This window comes from Homo sapiens, chromosome 12, assembly GCF_000001405.40.
Source record: "Homo sapiens chromosome 12, GRCh38.p14 Primary Assembly".
Lineage (NCBI taxonomy): Eukaryota > Metazoa > Chordata > Mammalia > Primates > Hominidae > Homo > Homo sapiens.
Genome location: NC_000012.12, coordinates 66,670,943 through 66,693,503, shown reverse-complemented (window position 1 = coordinate 66,693,503; position 22,561 = coordinate 66,670,943). Strand labels below are relative to the sequence as shown.

At 38.7% G+C, this 22,561-nt stretch overlaps 1 protein-coding gene across 18 annotated transcripts in view, besides 1 other annotated feature; it reads left to right on the top strand.

Annotated features, from left to right (window-relative positions):
- GRIP1 (glutamate receptor interacting protein 1) overlaps nt 1-22,561 on the top strand; it is a 721,908-nt gene that overhangs the window by 375,835 nt on the left and 323,512 nt on the right. For 5 of the 18 annotated variants that reach the window (NM_001178074.2, NM_021150.4, XM_047428621.1 and 2 more), the window contains exon 1: nt 14,428-14,654. The exons of the other annotated variants lie outside the window; for them this stretch is intronic. In NM_001178074.2, coding sequence (NP_001171545.1) covers nt 14,600-14,654 — 55 coding nt within the window. In that variant the 5' untranslated portion in view covers nt 14,428-14,599. Of the gene's footprint in view, nt 1-14,427; nt 14,655-22,561 lie in introns of those variants that run through there. 18 annotated transcript variants of the gene reach the window in all.
- Nucleotides 4,363-4,412: a silencer, noted in NCBI's record as "silent region_4638". NCBI's record gives its function as "represses an Ori minimal core promoter by ATAC-STARR-seq in GM12878 lymphoblastoid cells {active_cell/tissue: GM12878}" and the evidence as "EXISTENCE:reporter gene assay evidence [ECO:0000049][PMID:35858748]".

Here is a 22,561-nt window from a genome sequence, read left to right as displayed (position 1 = left end):
CTACAAGGGCCAGGCAGATAACAGTGAATGAAGGAACCCTAGTGGGGACTGGGGTGACCTGGAGAATGTATGCCCCAAATATCCAAAGAGGCCACCATTGTCCAGCCCCAACTGAGAGTTGCATGCGGGAATGCAGGCCCAATGTGAAATGAGCTCTTGATTTTTAAAGAGAATCCACAAACCCATAACTTTAAATAAACTATAGACATTTCTGAAGTGTGCAAATAATTTAAAACATTTCTAAACATAGCTCAGGCAAAACGAGCGTACTTACAGGTCACGTGTGGCCCTGGAGCTGCCAGTTTGATAACCTGAGTTTAGACATCACCCTGTCATTCATAAGCTCATGACCTGGCTCTCTTGGGACATACTATGTTAAGGAACTCTGGTACTACTAATTATTGGTTACTATTATAACAACATTCATAGTAATAATGACTAACACCCTAGCACTTTTTATGTATCAAGCACTATCCTAAACACTTTATTCATAACTCCTGTAACATTCTCAACACCCTATGAAGTTAGGTTACAGTGGTTTCCAGCATTTGTTATATGTTAGGTACTGTTCTAGGTCAGGACTCCTCAGCACAAGTCATGACTTACGAAATAATTCTGTAATAATCCTATGAGTAGCTAGAGAAACTGAGGCACAGGAATATTTAGTAACTTGTCGTAGCTCATTTCCTAGATTCAAACCCAGGCAGTCTGGTCCCAGAGCCCACACTCTTATCACTGTGCTGTCCTGACTGCCTCTGGGATACTCTGGGTACTGGTTGTTTTTCAAAGAACTCTCAGCTGTGGTGCTCAGTGGTCCTAGACAAATCCCCTCCTCTCTGCCATGACAATGTGGCACTTCTGACCAAATGCAGTCAGCCCCAGGTCTTCTGTAAAATCCATCTCATCATCTCATTTTCATGTATCACCAGACATACTTTATTCAATCTTTGTTTTTTTTTAAATCTCCTCCAAAATGAACAGATCATAAATCCTTTGCTAGATGAAATTTCCAAATAATGGTGATAGATGGCCTTGTCTTTTGTCTCCTGACTAGTTTGGCCCTGCCTGTCATCACAGCAATCAAAGAGTTGTAAGATGCCATGTAGACGCAGTGCCAAAAAAGGAAGGGACAGCTTAATTCTCCACTCAAATTTCTGTTTCATTTGAACTTCCTCATATGAGTGAAACTTCCTACAGGGTTACACAATTGGAACTCCTGAAATAAGTGAGAAATTACAGTTGTAATTTTAGAGAATTGACTTTAATCTGCAGCTGCAACCTAGAATCTGTATCTGAGGAATGAGAATTGAGATTATGACATGGGAGCATGCAGTGATTTGCAGAATGCACTTGTTTCCAGTTCTGTCTATTGGTGCCAATGCTGAAATCCAAACCCTGCTGAGAGATTGATAATGGAAAACTGAAGGTGGGAGGAAAAAAGCAGGGTATAAATCTACTCCAAAGCTGTCAAATGCAGTGAATTATATCAAATGGTTCTCTAATTTTCTACTTGGAAGATACCTTTTATTTTTTAAAAAAAGATAAATTTGGCTGTTACTTTACAGCTTTGCACTTCCATCAGCTCACCAGTTTTATGATGCTTCCTGTGAGCAGTGGGTCTTAGCGGTTGGTGCATTTCCATTAGCATGCTTCTGCAAAATAGTTCATCCTTCTGTGAGTCCCTTTTGATCAATTAAGCGCCTGCATTTCCCTACGCAAACAAGTTAAGAGAGAGAATCTATGGAAGGACTCTCTTCCTAGGGACTAATTTTAATGTCATTTCTAAAAATAAAGTATTAGATATAAAGGCAAAAGAAAGGTAGCTTTAGAATAAAAGATGCTTGTAAAGAGGACACTTTCATTCACCACTGGGACTTAGAACCAAACTTTCGGAAGAATGAGTGGACAAGGGCATGGTGGGAGCATTGTCGAATTCCAGGCTTGATAACGTAGGCAACCATTAAGAACCATTCAGAGATCTATATAACAAGAAAGGTAAAAGTTGATGGATCTAACTTTGGAAAAGTATATGTATTTTTTAATTCCTTGTAAAAACTTGAAAGTAAATTCCTCCCTGTTGTATTTTTAATGAAATATTTAGACTTTTCCCTTTGCTTTATGGAAGAAACCTCTAGTGTATTCATTTGATAGTTTTTCTTATTCAGCCTAAGCACAAATCACAGCACTTGAACAAACCCAATGTTTCTAATAGTTTGTGCTTTTGCCTTCCACCAGGACCACAGATACAAATGACTGAAGGCACATTCCTTAAAGAAAAACCTTGACTATGAGAAGTGACAAATAAGGTTTGGTTTAGAAGTCATTGAATTTAGTAGTGGTTGCACTGGAGTTGAGTGGTGGAGGTTAGTTCTGAAGTTAAAGCATGAAACAAAAATCTCATAAAATGAAAATTACCCTTGACTAATTCTTGTATTTCTTGGGTTGAGCAAATAGCATAGCTGGCTAGCATGGAGAAAAGGGAACCTATTTACACTGTTGTTGGAAATGTAAATTAGTGCAACCATTATGGAAAACAGTATGGAGGTTTTTTTGTTTTGTTGTTTTGTTTTTGACACTGGGTCTTGCTCTATTGCCCAGGCTGGACTGCAGTGGCAGGATCATAGCTCACTGCAGCTTCAAACTCCTGAGCTCAAGCAATCCTCCTGCCTTAGCCTCCCGGATACCTGGGACTACAGGCACACACCACAATGCCTGGTTAATTTTTCTAAGCAACATAGCGAGAACTTGTCTCTAATAAAAATTAAAAAAAATTTTTTGAAAAAATTTTTTTTTAATTTTTATTAGAGACAAGGTCTCGCTATGTTGCTTAGGCTGGTCATAAACTCCTGAGCTCAGCTGGTTCTCCTGACTTGACGTCCCAGATTCTTGGGGTTATAGACATGAGCCATCGTGCTTGGTCTAAAAAATTAAAAATAGTACTAAACAATCCAGTAATCCCACTTGCGGGTATATATCCAAAAGAAATGAAATCGGCATCTTGAAAAGACACCTGTACCCTCCGTGTTAATTGCACAGTAGCCAATATGTGGAAACAACCTAAGTGTCCATCAAGAAATGAGTAAATAAAGAAAATATGGTGTATGTGGTGTGTGTGTGTGTGTGTGTGTGTGTAATATTATTGAGCAATGAAAAGAAGGAAATCCTGCCATTTACTACAATATAGATGAGCCTGGAGGATATTATGTTAAGTGAAATAAGCCAGACACAGAAAGACCAATATTATATGATCTCACTTATATGTGGAATCTAAAAAAGTCAAATTTGGCTGGATGTGGTGGTTCACGCCTGTAATCCTAGCACTTCAGGAGACCAAGGCAGGAGGATTGCTTGAGCCCAGGAGTTCAAGACCAGCCTGGGCAATGTAGGGACAGCCCTTCTCTACAGAAAATAGAAGAAATTAGCCATGTGTGATGGCATTTGCCTGTGGTCCCAGCTACTCAGGAGGCTGAGGCAGGAGAATTGTCTGAGCCCTGGAGGCTGAAGCTACAGCAAGCCATGATCACATCCCTGCACTCTAGCCTGGGCAAGAAAGCGAGGCCCTGTCTCAAAAATAAATAAATAAATAAATAAAAATAAATAATTTTAAAATTACAATACATTAAAATGTCCAATTCATAAAAGAGTAAAATGGTGGCTGCCAGAGGTCTGGGAGTGGGGGAAATGGGGAGATGTTGATCAAAGGGTACGAACTTTCAATTACAAAAAGAATAAGTTCTGGAGATCTAATGTACAGCATGGTGACTATAGTTAATAATACTGTATTGTTTACTTGAAATTTGGTAAGAGAGTAGATCTTAAGTACCCTCATGACCCCCGTCACACCCACATCAATGCTGAGTGGTGATGAATATGTTAATTGATTGTGGTCATTTAACAGTGTATATATATATTAAATCATCATGTTGTATACCTTGAATATATACAATTTTTATTTTATGCCAAATACACCTCAGTAAAGCTAGGTAAAAATGTTTCTCCTGCATATGCCTTTTGAAATGTATATATAGACTTAAGCCATGGCTAGCACACAGAGAAGTAAGTGAGTGCTAGCCATGTTGATGATGATCATGATGACAATGACAATGATTGACTTGATTGGTTCCCAGAATTCTGACCAGAACCCAGGTTCCCCTGACCTTCCGCCTGCTTTTCCTGGACTTCGGCTCCCCCTTGGCTTTCCCATGTGCCCCTCGTTTCTTGACAACTCGGCCTCTGTTACTGTCACCAGATACTGTGCTAAATTTTTGGATTACTGTCAACACAAGCTTTGTTATACTCATCTAAGAACTTAGAGGGATCCCATGATCCTTCCTGTCTTTTGATGGGAAACTGGACCGAGGTTGTCTTCAAGTATCTGGCCTCAATTTGGTCGTCTGGTCAGTTCCCAGCCAGCCTGCCTGAGCCCTGCACTCCCATTTCTGATCCTTTGCTGCCCTCTAGTAGCTGCTTGCCTGACTGTGCAGCTGTGCAGACCTGAAAGGGAAGGTGTACTTGCTAGACTGCAGGGGGCTTGTGCACCTGGATGTTAAGAAGGTGCCTGATGAGAGGAAGAGACCCAGTGAAGAATGTCCTTCAACCCTGACTTCTTTTATCTTTTCCATGGTTTTTCACGGCGCCCATTTTTATAGAGCCCTTTTCCCCTTTAGACATTATTAGAGGGTTGTTTCCTCCTTTGAAGGAAAATAAAATGCCTTTCCTTTTTTTTTTTTTTCAGAGTCAGTGATTGGTGATTGAAAGTGTTTGCAAAACATCCCCAAGGAGCACTTTAATGTCATTTTTATGGAAATAAAGTGGAAAATAATAGGCACTGTTTTTTTAAGTGAAAGAAAAGGACCCTTCTGGGTTTTGGTAATGAACTTAGGAAGACAAGATATTATGAGCAGAAACCTTTGAGATTTGGTAAAATGTGAATTTCCTAAGAGAGAAGCACAAGAGTGAGACCTTTTTCTTTGTTGTTTTCTGAGTCTATGCTTCTTATATAACTATATTACAAATGGAATGGACTCTGGAGCCTCCTAATTTTTCAGTGTACACACAAATACACATATATTTGAATATTATTTTCATAGCCAGTCGTACTCTTTGTAAAGCACTTGAAAATTGACAAAGTGCTTTCTTATTTATTATCTAATTTGATCATCACAGCAGCCCAGTGAAATTGGTAAATTCAGTACTGTAACAGAATGGTAGAACTGTAAGGAATTTTAGAGACACAACTGCCTTATTTTGCAGATCAAGAATCTAAAGCTTAAAAAAGAGTATTAGACAAGACTCTTTGATCCCAAGTGACAGAAATCCAACTCCAACTAAATTAGCAAAATGGAGACCATACTGACCGAAGTAACTAAGTCCGGTGTATTAGGGATTTAGAAATGGATGAATCCGGATGTTCCAATGGCATCTCCAGGAATATGTCACTCTCCATCCCTCGACTCTATTTTCCTCTGTCTTGGTATGATTCAAAGTCAGCTTTTCCCATGTGGTGATAAGATAGCAACTCCAAGTACATAGCCTGCCATTCCCAGTGGAATGCAGACTATCTTCTTTGCAGCAGTTCTAACAAAAGTTCTGGGATTACATCTCATTAGCATGGCTTGTGTGACTGCCTATTTCTGGACCAGTCCCCGTGACTAAGGGATTGTATGTTCCACTTAGTCAGCCTTGATACCCATACCTGGAGGGGTAGACGTAGGGGAGTGCCAGCTCCATGCACACCACATGGACCGAGAGTGGGTCCGCAAGAGAAAATTAAGGTGTTATTCCCTGAAGAGGAAGGAGCCCTTGATGCTGTTTAAGCATGAGCAATTCATGTGGATTAACTGACCTTTGGTATAAATGGGTTCTGTAGCTTTTAAGTTAAAATTTAGAACTACATGTTTAGTATTGTGAGTTAGAACTTTCCCTGTGAATATACTTTTCCAGCAAAGGAATTGTATTTTTTTTTTCACCTTTTTACATCCAGGGCCCATCATGGTGGCTGGCATAGGGGGTGTGCTCAGTCACTTTTACCCAAGATGAAACAGCCAATATGTAACTACATTAGAATTTTAACCTGAGGCTTCTGACTCCTTAGACATCTTTCAACTCTACCATCCTATTGCCCATGTTTAATTTTCCTTTTCCTTACTTTCCACCATTATTACAGTTAGTGATATTTGATTAAAATATTCTAGGTGTTAGTATTTGTCACCTAATTGCATGTGTTTTGGTGACTCATAGTACACATTGCTTGAAGGGGTGACAGAGTATTTCCACTTCATTGTATCAGAAAAGATAATTATGTTAATATATACTCGATAGGATACCTTAAAATATTGTCAGTACAGTTTTATTTGAAGGAGTAACGTGTCTTAGAATTGAGGAGGCTTTATTGTAGTGGTTTTTGTTTTTGTTTTTGTCTGTTTGTTTTGTTTTGTTTTGTTGAGATAGGGTCTTGCTGTCTCACCCAGGCTGGAGTGCAGTGGCACAATCATGGTTCACTACAGCTCAACCTCCTGGGCTCAAGCAATCCTCCCACCTCTGCCTCCTGAGTAGCTGGGACCACAGGTGTGTGCCATCACATGAGCCTGCTGAGTTTTAAAATATTTTGGTAGAGACAAGGTCTCACTATATTGCCCATGTTGGTTTCAAACTCCTGGGCTCAAGTGATCCTCCTGCCTCAGCCTCCCAAAGTGCTGAGATTACAGGTGTGAGCCACTGGCCTGGCTTTGTAGTTTGTTTTTAATATATGCATTCTTAATATGGAAAACTTAACTCCTTCCTATGCCACAAAAAGAAAGTCATCAAAATAGCAGCTGGAACAGCAAGAAGGTCTTGTAGTTAGTTTGTTTTTAATATATGCATTCTTAATATGGAAAACTTAGCTCCTTCCTATGCCACAAAAAGAAAGTCATCAAAATAGCAGCTGGAACAGCAAGCAGGTTAGTTTGGAGGTTGTTGTAGTACAAAGCCCTATTGAAGATGGAATTACAGAGTTTTTAGCAATGTATTACTAGAGCTTCCAAAAACAGACGCATGAATTACTTTAGAGATACATTATGTCCTTGACAGGCTATAATTATGCATGTTAGACCAGAATCTACTATCAGGATGAATGTGTATTTGGTATTTCCTTCATACACAGACCAAGACAAATTTTTAATTTTAGCATCTTTACTTTGCCTTTTTCTTTGTTGCTCTTGCTGCCTCTGACTTCAGTGAACAACTAGCTGGGCTGTATGTTTCTTCATATTTGGTGAACAACAGGGTCCTTATGATCTTGTCAGAAGCACCAGGAATGAATCTGAGGTGTGCTCTGGAAAGGTGGGCACAAAACACATGCCTTTTCCTTTTTCTCCTCTGCAAACAGTTAACATTCAAGAATCATGTTATTTGGAAGAATTTTCTCTTAAAGTGGCAGAGCTATTGTTGTTTTTTTAAAGTAATTTATGAGCGTCCTCTTTTCCATAAGAGTTTTACAAACAGTATTGCATATAAAAGAAATCCACTAGAAGGGAAATCCTTTCACATTTATTTATTCGACAAAAGTTTATTGAACATTGGCGCTATGTGCTAGGTACTGTTCTAAACAATGAACAAAATAGACCAAAAAATCCTGCCCTCAGTTTTAAAAAAAGCCATGGGCAGGGAGCAGCAGACAATAAACAGAAAAATAATCCAAATAGGTAGCGTGTTAGATGGTGATTAGTGACATAGGAATAAAATAAAACAAGAAAGGGTGATAAGCTGGGTATGGAGGGAGTACTGTCAATAAACTACTTCATCCAACCTGTTTTAGAAATCTAATTTCTTCCCTTGATCTAACCTAGCTGCTGTGCGCACATCACTGCTCCTTATGGTTGGGGTTGGATTTTTGAAGTAGCTGTGTTTCTTTCCTTCCTAGTAGCGCATAAGCCCACCACCGCTATATCCTGGGAGTGTGGAAAATGAACATTCTTTTAAGACAGCTTTAGTCTATGTATTGAAAATTAATCTTTTTAATTTGGATAAATATAGAACCTCTCCCTATTGGGTTTCCACTTTTCTTTATTATTCAAATAATGTGCTTTTATCTGCAAATTGTTGGTCAAAGTATCTGACATAACTCAGCTGTATGATATCCTAAATCCATGAGATTATTTATATTAAAGTACTTATTAATTTAGCCCTTAAAAAAAAAGAACAAAATTTGACTAGCCCTACAAAATTTGAAAAGTAATACTTCCCCCTGCCCCCAAAGAACTACTCAGACATTCATACAAATAAAAGCAAGTGTTGGTCAATGATTCTGGGATGAGTTAGGAGGAAGAACCCATGTGTGGGGCCCAGAACCTCAGTGCCTAGAACAAGGTAATCAGTAAAGGTCTGTAGGAGAAAACTCCTGTGCACAGTAACTGTGAAGGTCTGGACTAGGATGCTGGCAGTCAGGTGGGAGTATATTAAGAGGTATTTTAAAGGTGAGCTTAAGAAAGAGGGTGATGATGTAGTGAGCTCATGGAAGAGGAACGTGTGTCCTACTGGGAAGGAAATGGAGCTTGATACAGTTCAAATCTAGTTGGAGATGGTCATGAAGGCTGCCCACAGATGTTGGACTCAAGGATGAGAGAAGGTAGTTTTGTTTCGTTTCGTTTCGTTTTGTTCCATTTCATTTCATTTCATTTCGACAGAGTCTTGCTCTGTCATCCAGGCTAGAGTGCACTGGTGGGATCTCTGCTCACTGCAACCTCCGCCTCTTGGGTTCAAGTGATTCTCCTGCCTCAGCCTCCTGAGTAGCTGGGATTACAGGTGTGCACCACCACGCCTGGCTAATTTTTGTGTTTTTAGTAGACACAGGGTTTCACCATGTTGGCCAGACTGGTCTTGAACTCCTGACCTCAAGTGATCTGCCCACCTCGGCCTCCCAAAGTGCTGGCATTACAGGTATGAGCCACCGTCCCCCGCCAGGGGAAGGGAGTTTTAAATGAGGGAGCAAATTTGGGCTGACAGTTGAGATTTGAGAGTCAAAGCAAAGAAGTCATTGCTGGAGCCCTAGGAGAGGATAAAATGCTGAAGAAGGTGACCAACATGCTGTGACAGAGCTTGGGGGAATTCCGACATTTAAGGGTAGAGAAAGAAGAGGCATGAGAACAGGAAGAGGTTGCAGGAGTCAAAGAAGGGAAATTACTTCGTGCCATTGTAATGACAGAAAATGTTGTGGAAAAGGGTGCGTTTTACTTGTTAATCCCAATTCCACCTGCTTATGATTTCTCTGACCAAACCAATCCATACTAATCACATGGAGCTAATTTAAGGAAGAGTCTGGGTTCTGTAAGCAAGTGTCAAATTGTACAATTGTATTTCCTACCAAATACAAAGTGGCTAATAAAAGCTGTTACTGCTCTCTGTTCTAGGCACGTTACACAGATAAACTCAGTTTACCATTCAAACAAGCCTAGAAATGATTTTTACCGTTTTGCAAATGAAGAACAGAAAGGTTAAGAAACTTGCCCAAGGTCACGCAGCCATTTAGTGGCAAAAGCCAAGAGTCAAAGTCAGGCAATTTGATTCCAAGCTGTGTTTTTGGCCATTACACCATTCTCTCCTACATAATACCTCCATAAACAGTTGGACATACCTAGGCTCTTAGGAGGATGATTTCTGGTAGATTTTTCCTCTTGTACAAGCATTTCTCAATTTCTACATATTCTATCTTTAACATTTTCCACCAGATGCTTTTAGCTGATGAATTTCTAAGGTTGTTACCTTCACAGGAGCTTTCCTGGTCTCTTCATGTTCAGTGGAGGCAACCTTCTTTCCTTGGCACTGTTACGGGCATCAGAGCCCTGCCTAGATAAGCAAATGACACATGAAGTGTGCATTATACCCACCCTTTTATATCACAACACACCAGAGGCCCTGAGCTACTAAGTGCTTTTTAATCACCCCAGATTTGCAAGAGTATGTCCTAATGACACTTCCTAAAGGGCATCATTACTTCTATAAAAATGTTTTCTCATAAAATATTTGCTTTAAAAAATGCCTGATAAATTCTGTCTTGGGCAATTACACCAACTTTTCACACCCTTAGAACCTGTGTCAGCAAATTGGGTCTTGCTTTTTTAATAGTCCTTCATGACAGCTCATTACTGGCGAGTTCTGTTCAGTGTACATCTCCCTTGTCTGACCCTAATGTTTGGTCTCATGTTGACACACTAGTTGAACTAAGTAGCAGACAGTGGTCACAAGAATTATAACATGTTTGAGCTCATGGTTGCTTTTGGCATCTTTGAAAAGGGAAGTAAAAATGGCCGATTATAATAAGCTAAGAATGAGTCAGTGACGTTGTCTGTAAGGAGATGAAAAAGTGGGTGAGAGTCGCATTTTAAGACCTCCGAGAACACTGAGTTTTAAAATACCCGGAAGATTTGGGAAATACACAACATTTAATAACTGTGTATGTGTTGCAGGGTAGGGGGTGTGGGGATCAGTATATTCAATACTAGCCAAGTCAGGATGTTCCATGCTGTTTAAATAGTGAGCTAAGCATGTTAAGCATTTTTAAGCAACAGCATGCAAAGGAAAAGAAATGTAATAGTTAAATGAATAAGCAAATAAATGGGATCTATCAGGTATATTTTGTAACAGAAAGATTTATGAAGTTGAAGAAAGTGCAAATTATTTTAGCACTTTAATCAAATTGATTCTAATGATATAAAATAGTTGAGTATTTGTGGGATTAACCTCATTGTTTTGGTTTTTTGCAAAATGAATTTCCAGGTTTAGGCATATGGCAGAACATTTTTGGTTTATGATGATTCTTTCTTGTTAAGAATCAGAAGAACCTCCAAACAGCGCTATTTATTTTTGGGATGGAGATGTTATATAAAAGAATGAATACAATGGCGGAGAATCAAGGAAATGAGAAAATTAGAATAAGATTATGGGGCTATGTGTGCCACCTGCTGATGAAGCTGTGGAATGCTTTGGTTTTGAGACTATATTGGAATCTTTGAGCCAATCTTAAGGTTTTGTTTGTCCATACACCACAACCCACCCCCTTCTTATGATAAAATTAGTACCATATTGTCAATGGAGGTGATATTCCAAATATTTCAAAACCAGCATGACACAGGCCAGTCAGGATGGGCTAACCATGCAGTGAGAAGGGATTCCTGTAAACACTTGATACGTAATGGTCTTTCACCAGACGGTACTTGCCTTAACTGTCACCTGTTTCTGGTTCCTTCTGGTCAGGGTGGTCCTAGAACCATGAGCTGTGCTTCAGAGGGGAGAAGGTGATAGGCACTAGTTTTTCCCTCTGTCAAAAGATAACTGCACTTAAAGGTACTTTGTTAATTGAATTTGTCCCCCTGTAAACTAGATCACATTTTGTATTGGTGGCAAGGAAGCAGTGAAAAACAAGAGGAGAAAGAATGATTAGCCAGGGGTGAGAAGCTATGGTTCTTTCCTGTTCTTTACCACTTACTAGCTGAATGACTTTGATGAAAAACACCTTCTCTGAAACCAGTTTTCCTTTTCTGCATCAAAAACCTATAACAGAGTCGCTCCATGATACATTATGTGTGAAAGTGCCTTCTAATTCATTAAATTCTATGTAAACGTGGTACACTTGTATTACACCTTAGCAAAACTAATGTTTTAAAGAAACCCTGAAATAAGAATTATCATCTTAAGGGACTAGTCTGCCCTGAATCCAGCAAACCCATGTTTTCATGTATTGAGGTGTTTGTGTTTTTAAGAGGGGTAAACCTCTTGAACTAGCTCACTCACTCTTCTTCAGATCACATTGGGGCTTAATCAAATCTGTATTTTGTACAATTTTACCTGCCTTCTTTTTCCATAACCCCTACTTGGTGACCCTCACAGAGCATGTTGTAAAGTTTGAACTGTCTAGACAGCTGAGCCACCATAATTAACATGTTCATGACAGGTCCCAAAGACACATGCTTACATTGATCTGGTAGCCAAGAAATGTAGGTCACTCTGCCTTGTAGTAGCTCATGTTAGGAGCCTGTGGTCCACATTCCACCGGTTGCCTTGGCCATTTGAGACCTTCATCCTACAGATCGATACATTTTGAGATAGAAGGCTTGCATTGTTGGAAGGCATTTTACCAGTGCTAGAGTTCAGGATGGGAGGCTAAGCTTGCATTAGGCAAAGGGAGGACAAAGGGTTTAGGGCAAGAAGGTTGACCTGGGAGTGGCTCCCCAGGAAATCTCCAAGCATTAGCGAGGCCAGAAATGGAAGAAGATGGGAATACCTGGTGAATTCGTTCATTTTCTGGAAAAGAATTACTCCAGGAGGCTCCATTTCTGTAAGATTCCTGGGGCTGCACCTGGGCAGACTAATAGGATAGATATGGATTGGCAGCCACAGTATTCAAAGAGAGAAAAAACAATCCCCTAGTTTGGGCTCTCAGAAACCTTTCAAAGAGCTCCATGATGGGTTATTTCCCCTGCCAAAGAAATAGGACATTTTAGTAGTTCTGAAGACCTTTCTTGGGACCAGAGGATAGAGCTTTTAAAACAAAACAAAAAAAATAAGCATATTAGGAAAAGGGGAAAATATTTGATCATTTTAGTCATAAGGAAAAAGCAAATTGGATTTGAGTCTGCAAAATAGCAGAAGGCAAGAGATTCCTGTATGGTTTTGAGTTGTATTTGAATAGACTGGGCTGGGGTGGTGGTGTTCCACAGGCAAGATTCTACTAATAGTAATTGACAGCTGCGTATTCTGAGTGCCTGGATTTTAGGAAATATGTTAGATTTGGAGAAGAATCTTGGAAAGAGCTAACTGTAAGTATTTATCTCACTTTAGCTAGTAACTCAGTTCTCTAGTACTAAGGTATATTTCTATTTAAAGCAAAAAAATATCAAGGAGGCTAAACTATTTCTAGGGATAACCTAATAGAGATGAACATAATATGGGTTGAAATTCAAAGAAAGATTTATGCTAATCAGAACAATTATAAAAATTTGATTTTGCACTGCAGTCCATTTAATATAGTATTTTCTATTGATTAGTGGTTGCTTTAGCTAGACCATCCTTGGTAAAAGAATTCTGTTCTTTTCAAAAACCTTTAAAGTAGATGCTTATGATATTCAGATGTTTTTCACACACAAATTATTTTTCTATTGGACTCAAAATACAAAGCATATGCATTTCAATAGCAGTGGATTGAAATTGTTTGAGTTCATATTGAATTTATGAATGAAGAAAAGAAAGTTTTACCACTAAATTTGGAATGTTGGAAGTTATTTTAAAAACCAGCTTGAAAGTTTTTTCACAGCCTGAAGAGTAGAGAATAAAACTGTATGAATAATTCATAAAGTCCTAGAAATATTAATCAAGTAGTTTAGACAGTGATATATCTTTTCATTTTGACTAATTGATTTTTTTTTTCTTAAACTTCCTGGCCAACTGTCTAATTTTTTGTCCTGAATGTTTATGTTAACTCCTGTGGGAGAATTCTGGATTTTGATTAAAATTCCCTACCAAATGTTAGTTCGTATTGACTATATGGCGAGCAGGCTGCTGCTGGCAGATGAGGAGGTGTGCTCCGCCTTCTTATCACTTTGTGAATGGATTGTGAAGGGTTTGTTAATTTGCTCTTCACTCCATTGGAGCAGATACTCACAAATATCTGCTATGTCGCAAGACCGTTTTATTTGCATAATGAGAAGAATGGTTTGGGGGATGGTTGTTTGGGAAATAGTATAATAAAGTATATTAAAAATAGAAATACTTGGCCTTGTTTGCCTTTATTTCTGGTATCTTTAGAAACAGTCTTGACTGTGTTGCTTTCCAGCCAAGTCCTTTTTTGGAAGGGTGATTAAAGGGGCTGGGACTCCATCTGCCTGATTGTCTGCCTAGCCCTAACCCTTTCTTGTATTCCCTCTATAAACAGACACTGCCTTAACTCTCATAGGTTCAGGAAGTACCAAAGAGGTCTCTGTCCTAGAGCTGCTTCCCCGCTATAGGCAGAACTGTGATTCTTTCCTCAATCCCAAATATAAACGGCCCTCCCTCTTTTTCTTTCCTTTTTTTTTTTTTTTTTTTTGGTTGTTGTTTAAAGAACATAGTACATGACCCATGCATTTCTTCCTAAAGTAAGAGTGTAAGCATTTCACTTGCATTTCCCATTAAATGAGACATATAAAGGACACTGACTTGATGCTGAGAAGGAAAGGGGCTGATGGTGGCTGAACTGACTGGATACATCGCCTTTTGCCTTAAACAGAATGCACTGTTCAGTGCTTAGCGTTAGATTTATGGAATGGCTCCTCACACAGTGTCGTCCCTGCTTTGTACAATTTGGTGCTTTGTTGCTATCGAAACGGCATTACTTTCTAAGCCATTGTGATTGTGAAGGGGGAGGAGGCTGTGGCAGGCAGGGGTGGTAGTAGTAGTGAATGACACAGATTTGCCAGATGACATGTAGCGGACCTCTGCATCAGCCAAGAGGAATTAAGCTTTGTCACTCCCCACTGGGACTACCTTTCTCCTGGTATGTGCGCAAGGAATTCATATGCTGCTGCTGCTGCAGCCACCAGAGCAGAGAGCCTTGAGTACACTTTGCCACAGAAAGCAGTGAGCAAGAATGATAGCTGTCTCTTTTAAATGCCGTTGTCAAATTCTGAGGCGACTTACTAAAGGTATCGTGCTTTCCTTGTTATTCCCTCAGCGAGTCTGTTGCAGTATCCTATAAACACAGTTTAATGGTTTTTACTTTCAAATATGACTGCCTTTGCAATTTATTGTCAGGCAACAAAGAACTCAGTGAAATATGTATAGATACATATGTACAGGTAGACTCGGCTTTGCTTTCTGTCCTTACATCTCGGTTGTGTTCGTGCTGAAATTATGAAAGCAGCTTGTGTGATTTTTTTTTTAATGACTTCATTCTTTGCTGAAAAGAGAATGTGTTTGGGTCCGGTGCTGAAGTTATTGTGGGAAACCGTCATTTTGCATGCTGATTAACTGGCCAAAAGGAGTCAAGTGTGTGTTACTGTCCTTTCTATGATACATATACTAAATGCAGCTGGCAGATTCAGGACTCGCACAGCTGGTGGATCCACAGAATAATTGTTTGTTCTATGACTTTCCAACATCTTAAGAGCTTTTTCCCTGGACAGCTTTAATTTCTTTATGTGTTAGAATTGCATGTTCAGAAAAGTATGTAATTCCAAATGCTTTGGTCCTATGTAATACTAGAAGTTTATTTGAAAGTAAAAATCATTGCTCGGAATCTTATCATCAAGAATTACCAGCTTCAGATTGTCACTCTTAGAACTCTAAAATAGTAATTAAATTTCTCTGTAATATTTAAGGTATTATTTTATTTGAAACCATTCTGGATGTGCCATCTCGTTTACTTTGTGAGCATTCTATTGCAAAGTTAGTAAATGGATGCCTTAAAAATCCTGCCTTGTGTCCATATAGATATGTGAGCTCTCTTGCCTTATTTCCTTTAGATAGAACCTTCCTTAGAGAAAATTTATTATTTAAAAAAAAACTTCATTCTGAGTAAAAGTATTTAGTTGCAAATGCCTTTCTTTTTCAGCCTGTAATATAGAGTACTGTTGAGTAATTAATGGATATAATTATGTTCTAGAAGCTCTGAACCTATAAATATGTTAATGGATGCTATTTCTGTCAGTTTAGCTTGACATATCAGAATTCTTTGATCACCAGCAGTGCAGCTAAAAATGCAATTAATATTTTATCTGGCAGAAGAATGAGCACAAAGCAAATCATGAGAAATAGATCTTGAGTCAATAACAGGAAAGAGAATAAATACTGTAGACCAACTTACCGAATGCATTTGCAAGTTGTTTGGATAGCAGAGTGAGTCCTTTAAAAGGTACTTTGGGGGAAATGTAGGGAAGATTATACATTTTAAATTAGGCTATTAGCAGGAGGCTGTAAATTCTGTTTTGACTTTATCCTCTACAATTGGTACAGACGTACAATTTCTGTTTATAAATCATGACTAAGAGACTATCCTTTCTGTTACGGTTTTGGCTGAGACTTTTAAAGGCAGGCCCTTATTCTGAAAAGTTCTTTTCTGACCTGATTTTGGCATTTACTTATCTTGATGTTGAGAAGTTGATGGTCTTCTTACATCATAAACATGAAACAATCAGTATTTTCTATTCATCTGTATCAGTTCTTTTATAAGTACTACATACAAGGAAGAGAGTGAACCCAAGCAATTTATAGTTCTTACAAATATTTTTAACTTTCTCAGTTTTCTGAATTTTATGGAAGCATTGATCTCCTGCATTGAAAGGAGATTTAAGTGTTTACTAAGATAGTCGCTAAAAATCTAGATAATTGAGGAAAGTATTGATAACTGCTTTGGAGTTGCTACCTCACACTTTTTTCCAAAATCTTTATGTCTGCTCTATTTGGTATTTAACTTAAGACTGTCAGTTGATGATTAAAATAAAATCTCTTTGCAGAATCAATTTGCCATAATTGGGTTCTTCTTTGTGTTTAACTGGCTGTCCAAATACTTACAAGAATGCACCTGAGTAACACGGTACCTTGCCTTGCCATCTGCTTCAGTCTTGTCCAACAACGTTCAAGTTCCACCCATGCTTCTTGTTCCAAAGTGGATTCATTGAGTTCTAGCACCCCACCCATACTTGTGGTGCTGTTTTCTTAAGCTGTAATGATAAAACCAGGAAACATATGTAATTACAATATTAAAATGACCTTTCTTTTAGGGTCAGGAGTGTATTTGGGGACAGGGGTGGATATACACTTGAAGTTTCTTTCTTGTCCCATTCTCCCTACTCACACAACTCCCACACCCTCACCCTCAACTCCCAAACATACATATTTCTTTATACCCATTGAGGGCTCCACCTAACACTCACTCTTCCAGACATTTAGCACAAGGCATTACACTTAGTAGGCACTTCAAAACTGTTTGTTAAAATGAATTGGATTTGTCTAGTTGAAAGTAGTAGGGCATTTAAATCTTCTGTGAGCTCTTAGGAAATGCTTCAAGAGCTTTATTAGGCCTCTTGTGGCTAAAACCTTACCCAGATCTTAGCAGGGGGAAGTTTGCTTCATGACTCCAAAACTACCTTGCTATTTGTGGTTGATATCACCCACAAGAAAAAGCAATATGGCAATTGCAATTTCTTCTTAATTTTCTTAAGGAGAAAATGATGGAATAAAAGGGAAACAATTTTCTACAAACACCCACATTCTTGATATTTTTACTTGATTCTTACATTCTTCATATATCTAATACATACTTAACAAATATCGATTAAGTACCTACTATGTGCCAGACACTGACATTTTTGCACTTAGAATTCTGGGCTGGGACAATTTATAGGTGTAAAAAGCATTTTTAAAATGAATATATTATTGAACAATAAATATTTTTTCTTTAGGTCAGATGTAATTTTAAAAGATGTATAAAACATGTATTTCTAGACAAGTCCTTGGATCACTCCACATAGACACTGATCCACAGTATTATAGTAGAATATATTTCAGGTAAACTTAGCACTTCTCTGACTTGGGAATTGAGTCATTTTCTTATTAATGTTTCAAGCCACTGTTTCAATCATTTTGCCTTATCAGGTACCTACCAATGTAGAACAAGAGCAAGAAAATAACCTTTACCCAAAAGGCCCATGCCTGCCATTATGAGAGGAACTTTGGTTCATGAAAACACCAAGCACCGTCAAAAGCATTCCGTTTCCCATCTAATATTGAAATCTAAAGAAGCAATGCCGTTCTTTTCTTCCTCCAGAATGAGAGTCTACCAATTACCCAACCTTAGAGCCAAATCCCAAAATAACATTTTGTGAGGTTTCCAGAGACATCTGACAAAAGGGTTTTCTGGAGTGGGTAAATCTAGGCTTCTTGGCACCTACCTTCACAGCTGTTTACCTGGGACAGCCCTGGTTTCTCAGCTAGGGGCTACCATACCTCAGGGGAAGGGAGTATGTTCTCAGAGAAGGGGAGATATTTTCATGGCTCCCACAGACTTTGTTCTTTTTCTCTTGTCATGATTGTGTGATTACTTTTCCTTGAGACAGTTTGGCCTCATATGCAGAGAATCACTTTCTCTGGTGATATGGGATGTGACTCTGCTGCTTGCTCAGGTGCTGCCATTTTGAGCTCCGAGATCTGAACTTTCGTGCTCCACTGGCAATGGCATTTTTCTTTCACAAGCTTCACTCTGCCTACCAATGCCAACATCAGCCAATTAATATTTACTGACATTCCACAGGGAGCACGGCTCTGGGCACCTTTCATTGTTTTGCTGCCACCCACCCTCTCTCTCTGTCTTTTCTCTACTGGCTCAAAGCTCATGTCGGAAACCTTTGCCTTCACTTTAGTATAGACTTCAACATTTTTCATCATAGCTGGCCTACGTGTCATTTTATTTTCTACTTATCTTCACTTTCTCTCTCTTCCCAAATACACATATGGCCTAAAATAGAATTAACTCTCCCTGTCCCTTTCCCACTAACAAACTATAAGCAGCCCCGTTGACCTTCATCCCAATGGGGTGTCTAAGTGAGACATCTGTGGCTGGCAGGGAACTGCTCCCTGCTGTGCATTCTACTTTCTTTCTCTCTCCCTCTCTTCTTCCTGATTTCTCCTCCCAACCTCAGTATCTTTTCTCCTTTTCTGCTGTCTGGGCATGTATGGGTATTGCTCTCTCCACTGGCACTGAGCAAGATTAAAAGGCTGGGTTGTGATCACACTCACTCTCATTTTTTCAGTCATTGTTCCTTACACTTACCCCAATCATGGAATCATTATGCTTGAAAGGGAAGGTCAGACATTCGTCTAGGACTTGTTTCCAGAGAGAACTGAAACTCAACCATCTCAGACAACCAGTAATCTTATTCTCAATTCTCTCTGACAAGAACAATCTCACAGTTTGTCTGATAAACTTTTAATGGATTACTCAGGTGACGTCTAAATCCCTTTAAACTCTGACACTCATCCTGTGTTTAAAAGTTCTTCTATTTAGAAACTCATTTCCTAAGTGTAATCTTAATTAAAGAAACACATTTAAATGTTTTGTCTTAATGGAAGAGGAAAAATATTTCCCATCTTTTCTCATCTGCAGAATCTTTTAATCCAAGGAATTCTGAATCCATCACAGAGTTCAGTATCAGTGTTCCAAACCTGATGGCTCCTTTGCTGGTGGCCTTGGATTTTCTGTTCTGGTCACTTTGCTCTTTCCCATCTGTCTGTGTCTAGCCTTGTGGTTCCTTCAGCAGTCTTCTCTAATGATTCCTCATCCACTCTGTGATATGATTCAGAACTGATCATCATCTGGGTTGAGAATGCTCTCTCTCTCTGTGCTGGACCTCATTTCTCCTGTCTCCCCATCCTCATCCATTCTGCTAACCCTCGCTGGCCTTCTCTGTCAGATCCTGCCATCTGGAACAACTTAACTGTATCCTCCACCTCGTTAACTTTCCACCCCTTTCCAAATCTCACCTGCAACCATGTCCTTTCTGCTTTGCCTCCACCCCTTCATTTCATGCCATCAAAGCTAGTGCATTTAACGTATTTATCTTTCTAGCCTATCAACTTTTTAAAATAATATGCACTTAATAGATATTTCACAAAGTAAGTCTGTCTTGTTTTATTGGAGTTTCATCTATTGCTAGGGCATGGGGCATATTTCTCTTGCAAATAGAGAGACCCCACTTGAACAGGAGAATGCTGCAGCTGGGTCCCAGGCAGGTCTTGTTCTCGCGCAAGTGCTGCTCGTGGTCCAGATTGTGATGGATTTCTTGCTGTGCTTCTAGCCCATGCTTTGAGGGAGTTTACATTGAACAGTGGCTTGGACCGCTTTACTCTCCACTGGACTGAAGCTTTTCGTTTATATAACTAGTTAGAATTATCATAATGGCGCATTTATTTCTCCCCTGTCTTCCAAATGGGAATTGGATGCTAGAAATACTTTACCTCGTTCCAGGAGGTACCCATCCTCCAGAGGAAATTTTGGCTATGCCTTGTATGACCCCATATAAACAAGAAGGAGTCTACACCCTTCTTATATGATTGTAGCAGGTTAGGAAGAAATATCTGGTTCATTACTGGGAAAAGGAGGGCCAATGTAGGATAGGCATTCTAATCGATTAACTTATATACTTTTGGGAAATGTTTAGGAGGAAGAATGGAAATAAGGATAGCTAACATTTATTGAGCACTTACTTTCTGCCAGGTACTATTCTAAACATTTTACATGTACTAACTCATTTAAATCTTGCAATATTATCGTCATTATCCCCACCATACAGATGAAAAAGAAGAGGTTCAGAGAAGTTAAGAATCATTCCTAAGATCACAAGTGGAGGACAGGAGGAACCCCAGTGTTTCATTTTTGCCATTTTTTTTCTCTTCTAGAAACGGATAGAAACCATAGACCTGCCTATCTAGAATAATAAAGAGAAATTAATCAAGACAACACCACACTAATCTCTCAGCATTCCTTATGGTAGGGGAAATAGAATAGACTTAGAAATTAGAAGATATGTCAACCTTTCCTAGCTTTCCTATTTTTACTTGTGTGGCAAAAACAAACAAACAAAAAAACTGAATTTCCCCCACTAAATTTCAGTTTCTTAATCTGTAAATTAAAAATTACTTGTGAAAACTGTTTTATACTCATGTTAGCTATAACAAAATGATTTAATTTTCTACTACAGTTGATTTATTTGAAATTCTTATATTAGTAAATTCACTTTATTCTGGCGGAAAATATATAATTTGATAACTTCCCACTATTTGAGAGGAGGCAAAATACATAGTTTCTAGGGATAGGCAAGCCGTCAGTGTTTGAAACTCATCTTTTTCTCTCTTTTAGTTTCTTACCACTTTTTTGCCCATATACATGAGAATTATGTTAAATTTAAAATTAGTAACTGCTGCTTTATTAAATATACAGAAGAAAATCTTATTTGCAGATTTTTAAAATAATTATTTGTTTCAGTATCGCATATATCCAAAAAAAAAATGCACCCAGATATTTATTACATGTAGCTCCTTAAAGGATGTTACTGCACCCTTCAAACCAAGGAAACTTTGACCTTGCCATTACAAAAAGCAATAAAAGCAGTGGTCTTGGATGTCTCAGTCAATGATGACCACCTAAATTCAGGCAAAGCTCGGGGTATTAGAAAGTGAGAAAGAGCTTCTTACTAATAATTCCAACTACATTATTAAATAGCTGAATATATGAAGAATACAATAAGTTACATTTGTACTAAGGAAATTTCTATTCATTTTCAAAACAGATGAATTAGGAGAAAAGGTAAAACTAAATATCACTAAAGATATGTTGTCATCATAATAATGGAAACCAATGGAGGAAAACAAATTGATTTACAAATTATTATGCTTTTTAATAAGTTGAAATTATATGTATAATACATGTTTTGTCTTACATCTTCTTCCTAATATTCTGCCCATTTGTGCACATTAGCACACACTTGTCATAGGAAACTGTTACTGTCTCTGTAGTATTTCCTTATGTGGATAATATATCTTTAGTTTGTTTCCCAGTTTTCAGTCTAATACATGATACTGAATTGTCTTTAAAGAATTTATTTTGTGCTTTAAATTGTTGCCTTCATGTATCTTCACTTTCAAGTCTTCTGATACATATTGTCTGAGAAATGTGTTTAGGATACACGTCCCACACATTTTCCCCAAGGCTTTCTTAAGCTAATAGAGGTGGCAGAGAGAAAAACAGTGGGAGAAATAGCGTTTGGATACCGTAATATCTAAAAACCAAAGCAAAGATGAGAGAAGGAGAGGCGAGAAGCAGCCCTTCTGTTTTGTAAGTGGGTCATTGCTGACCTTTGAGAGAACAGTTTTCACAGGGTATTGATGTCCAAACCAGATTATAAGGATTCTCTGCATTAAAGGCAACAAGGGCAGACCACTCTTTTAAGAAGTCTGAAGGTGAAAGTTAGGCTGTAGATGGGCAGCAGCCTGTGGGGGTGGAGGGCGGGGTCATGGGGGATAAGGAAGGCTATTATAGGATGGGAGAAATCTGAGCATTTTTTAAAAGGATAGAACCAGTAGGGAGGTAAAATTTCAAGATGCAAACTAGAAGAGGGATGAACTCTAGAACCAGGCAAGACAGTGTGAGTGTGAGACCACGAGACAGATGGCAGCCAGCTAGAGTGAGCAAGAGGGACACTCTTGTCACAGAGACAGGAAAGCATAGGAAGAAAGACTTTGAGGTGGACATTAAGGAAATTAATCAAACTTGACTTTCTTAGTAAATCAGAAGATGAGTCTAAAATCTCCTATTTTTATGAGCACCCAATTCAGGGGTTTCTAAATTTTTCTCTCCATTGGAATTACCTTGTAACCTTAAGAAAATAATGTTGCCTGGATCCAACCCCAGAGATTGTGATTTAATTGCCTGGAAGTGTGGCCTGTTCTTTGGCATTTTAACACATTCCCCAGGTGACTTTACTGTGTTAGCTGAGTTTGGGAGCCATGGACCTAACGTACTGGCAGCTTCATAGAGATGCTACTAGATATGTTTCAG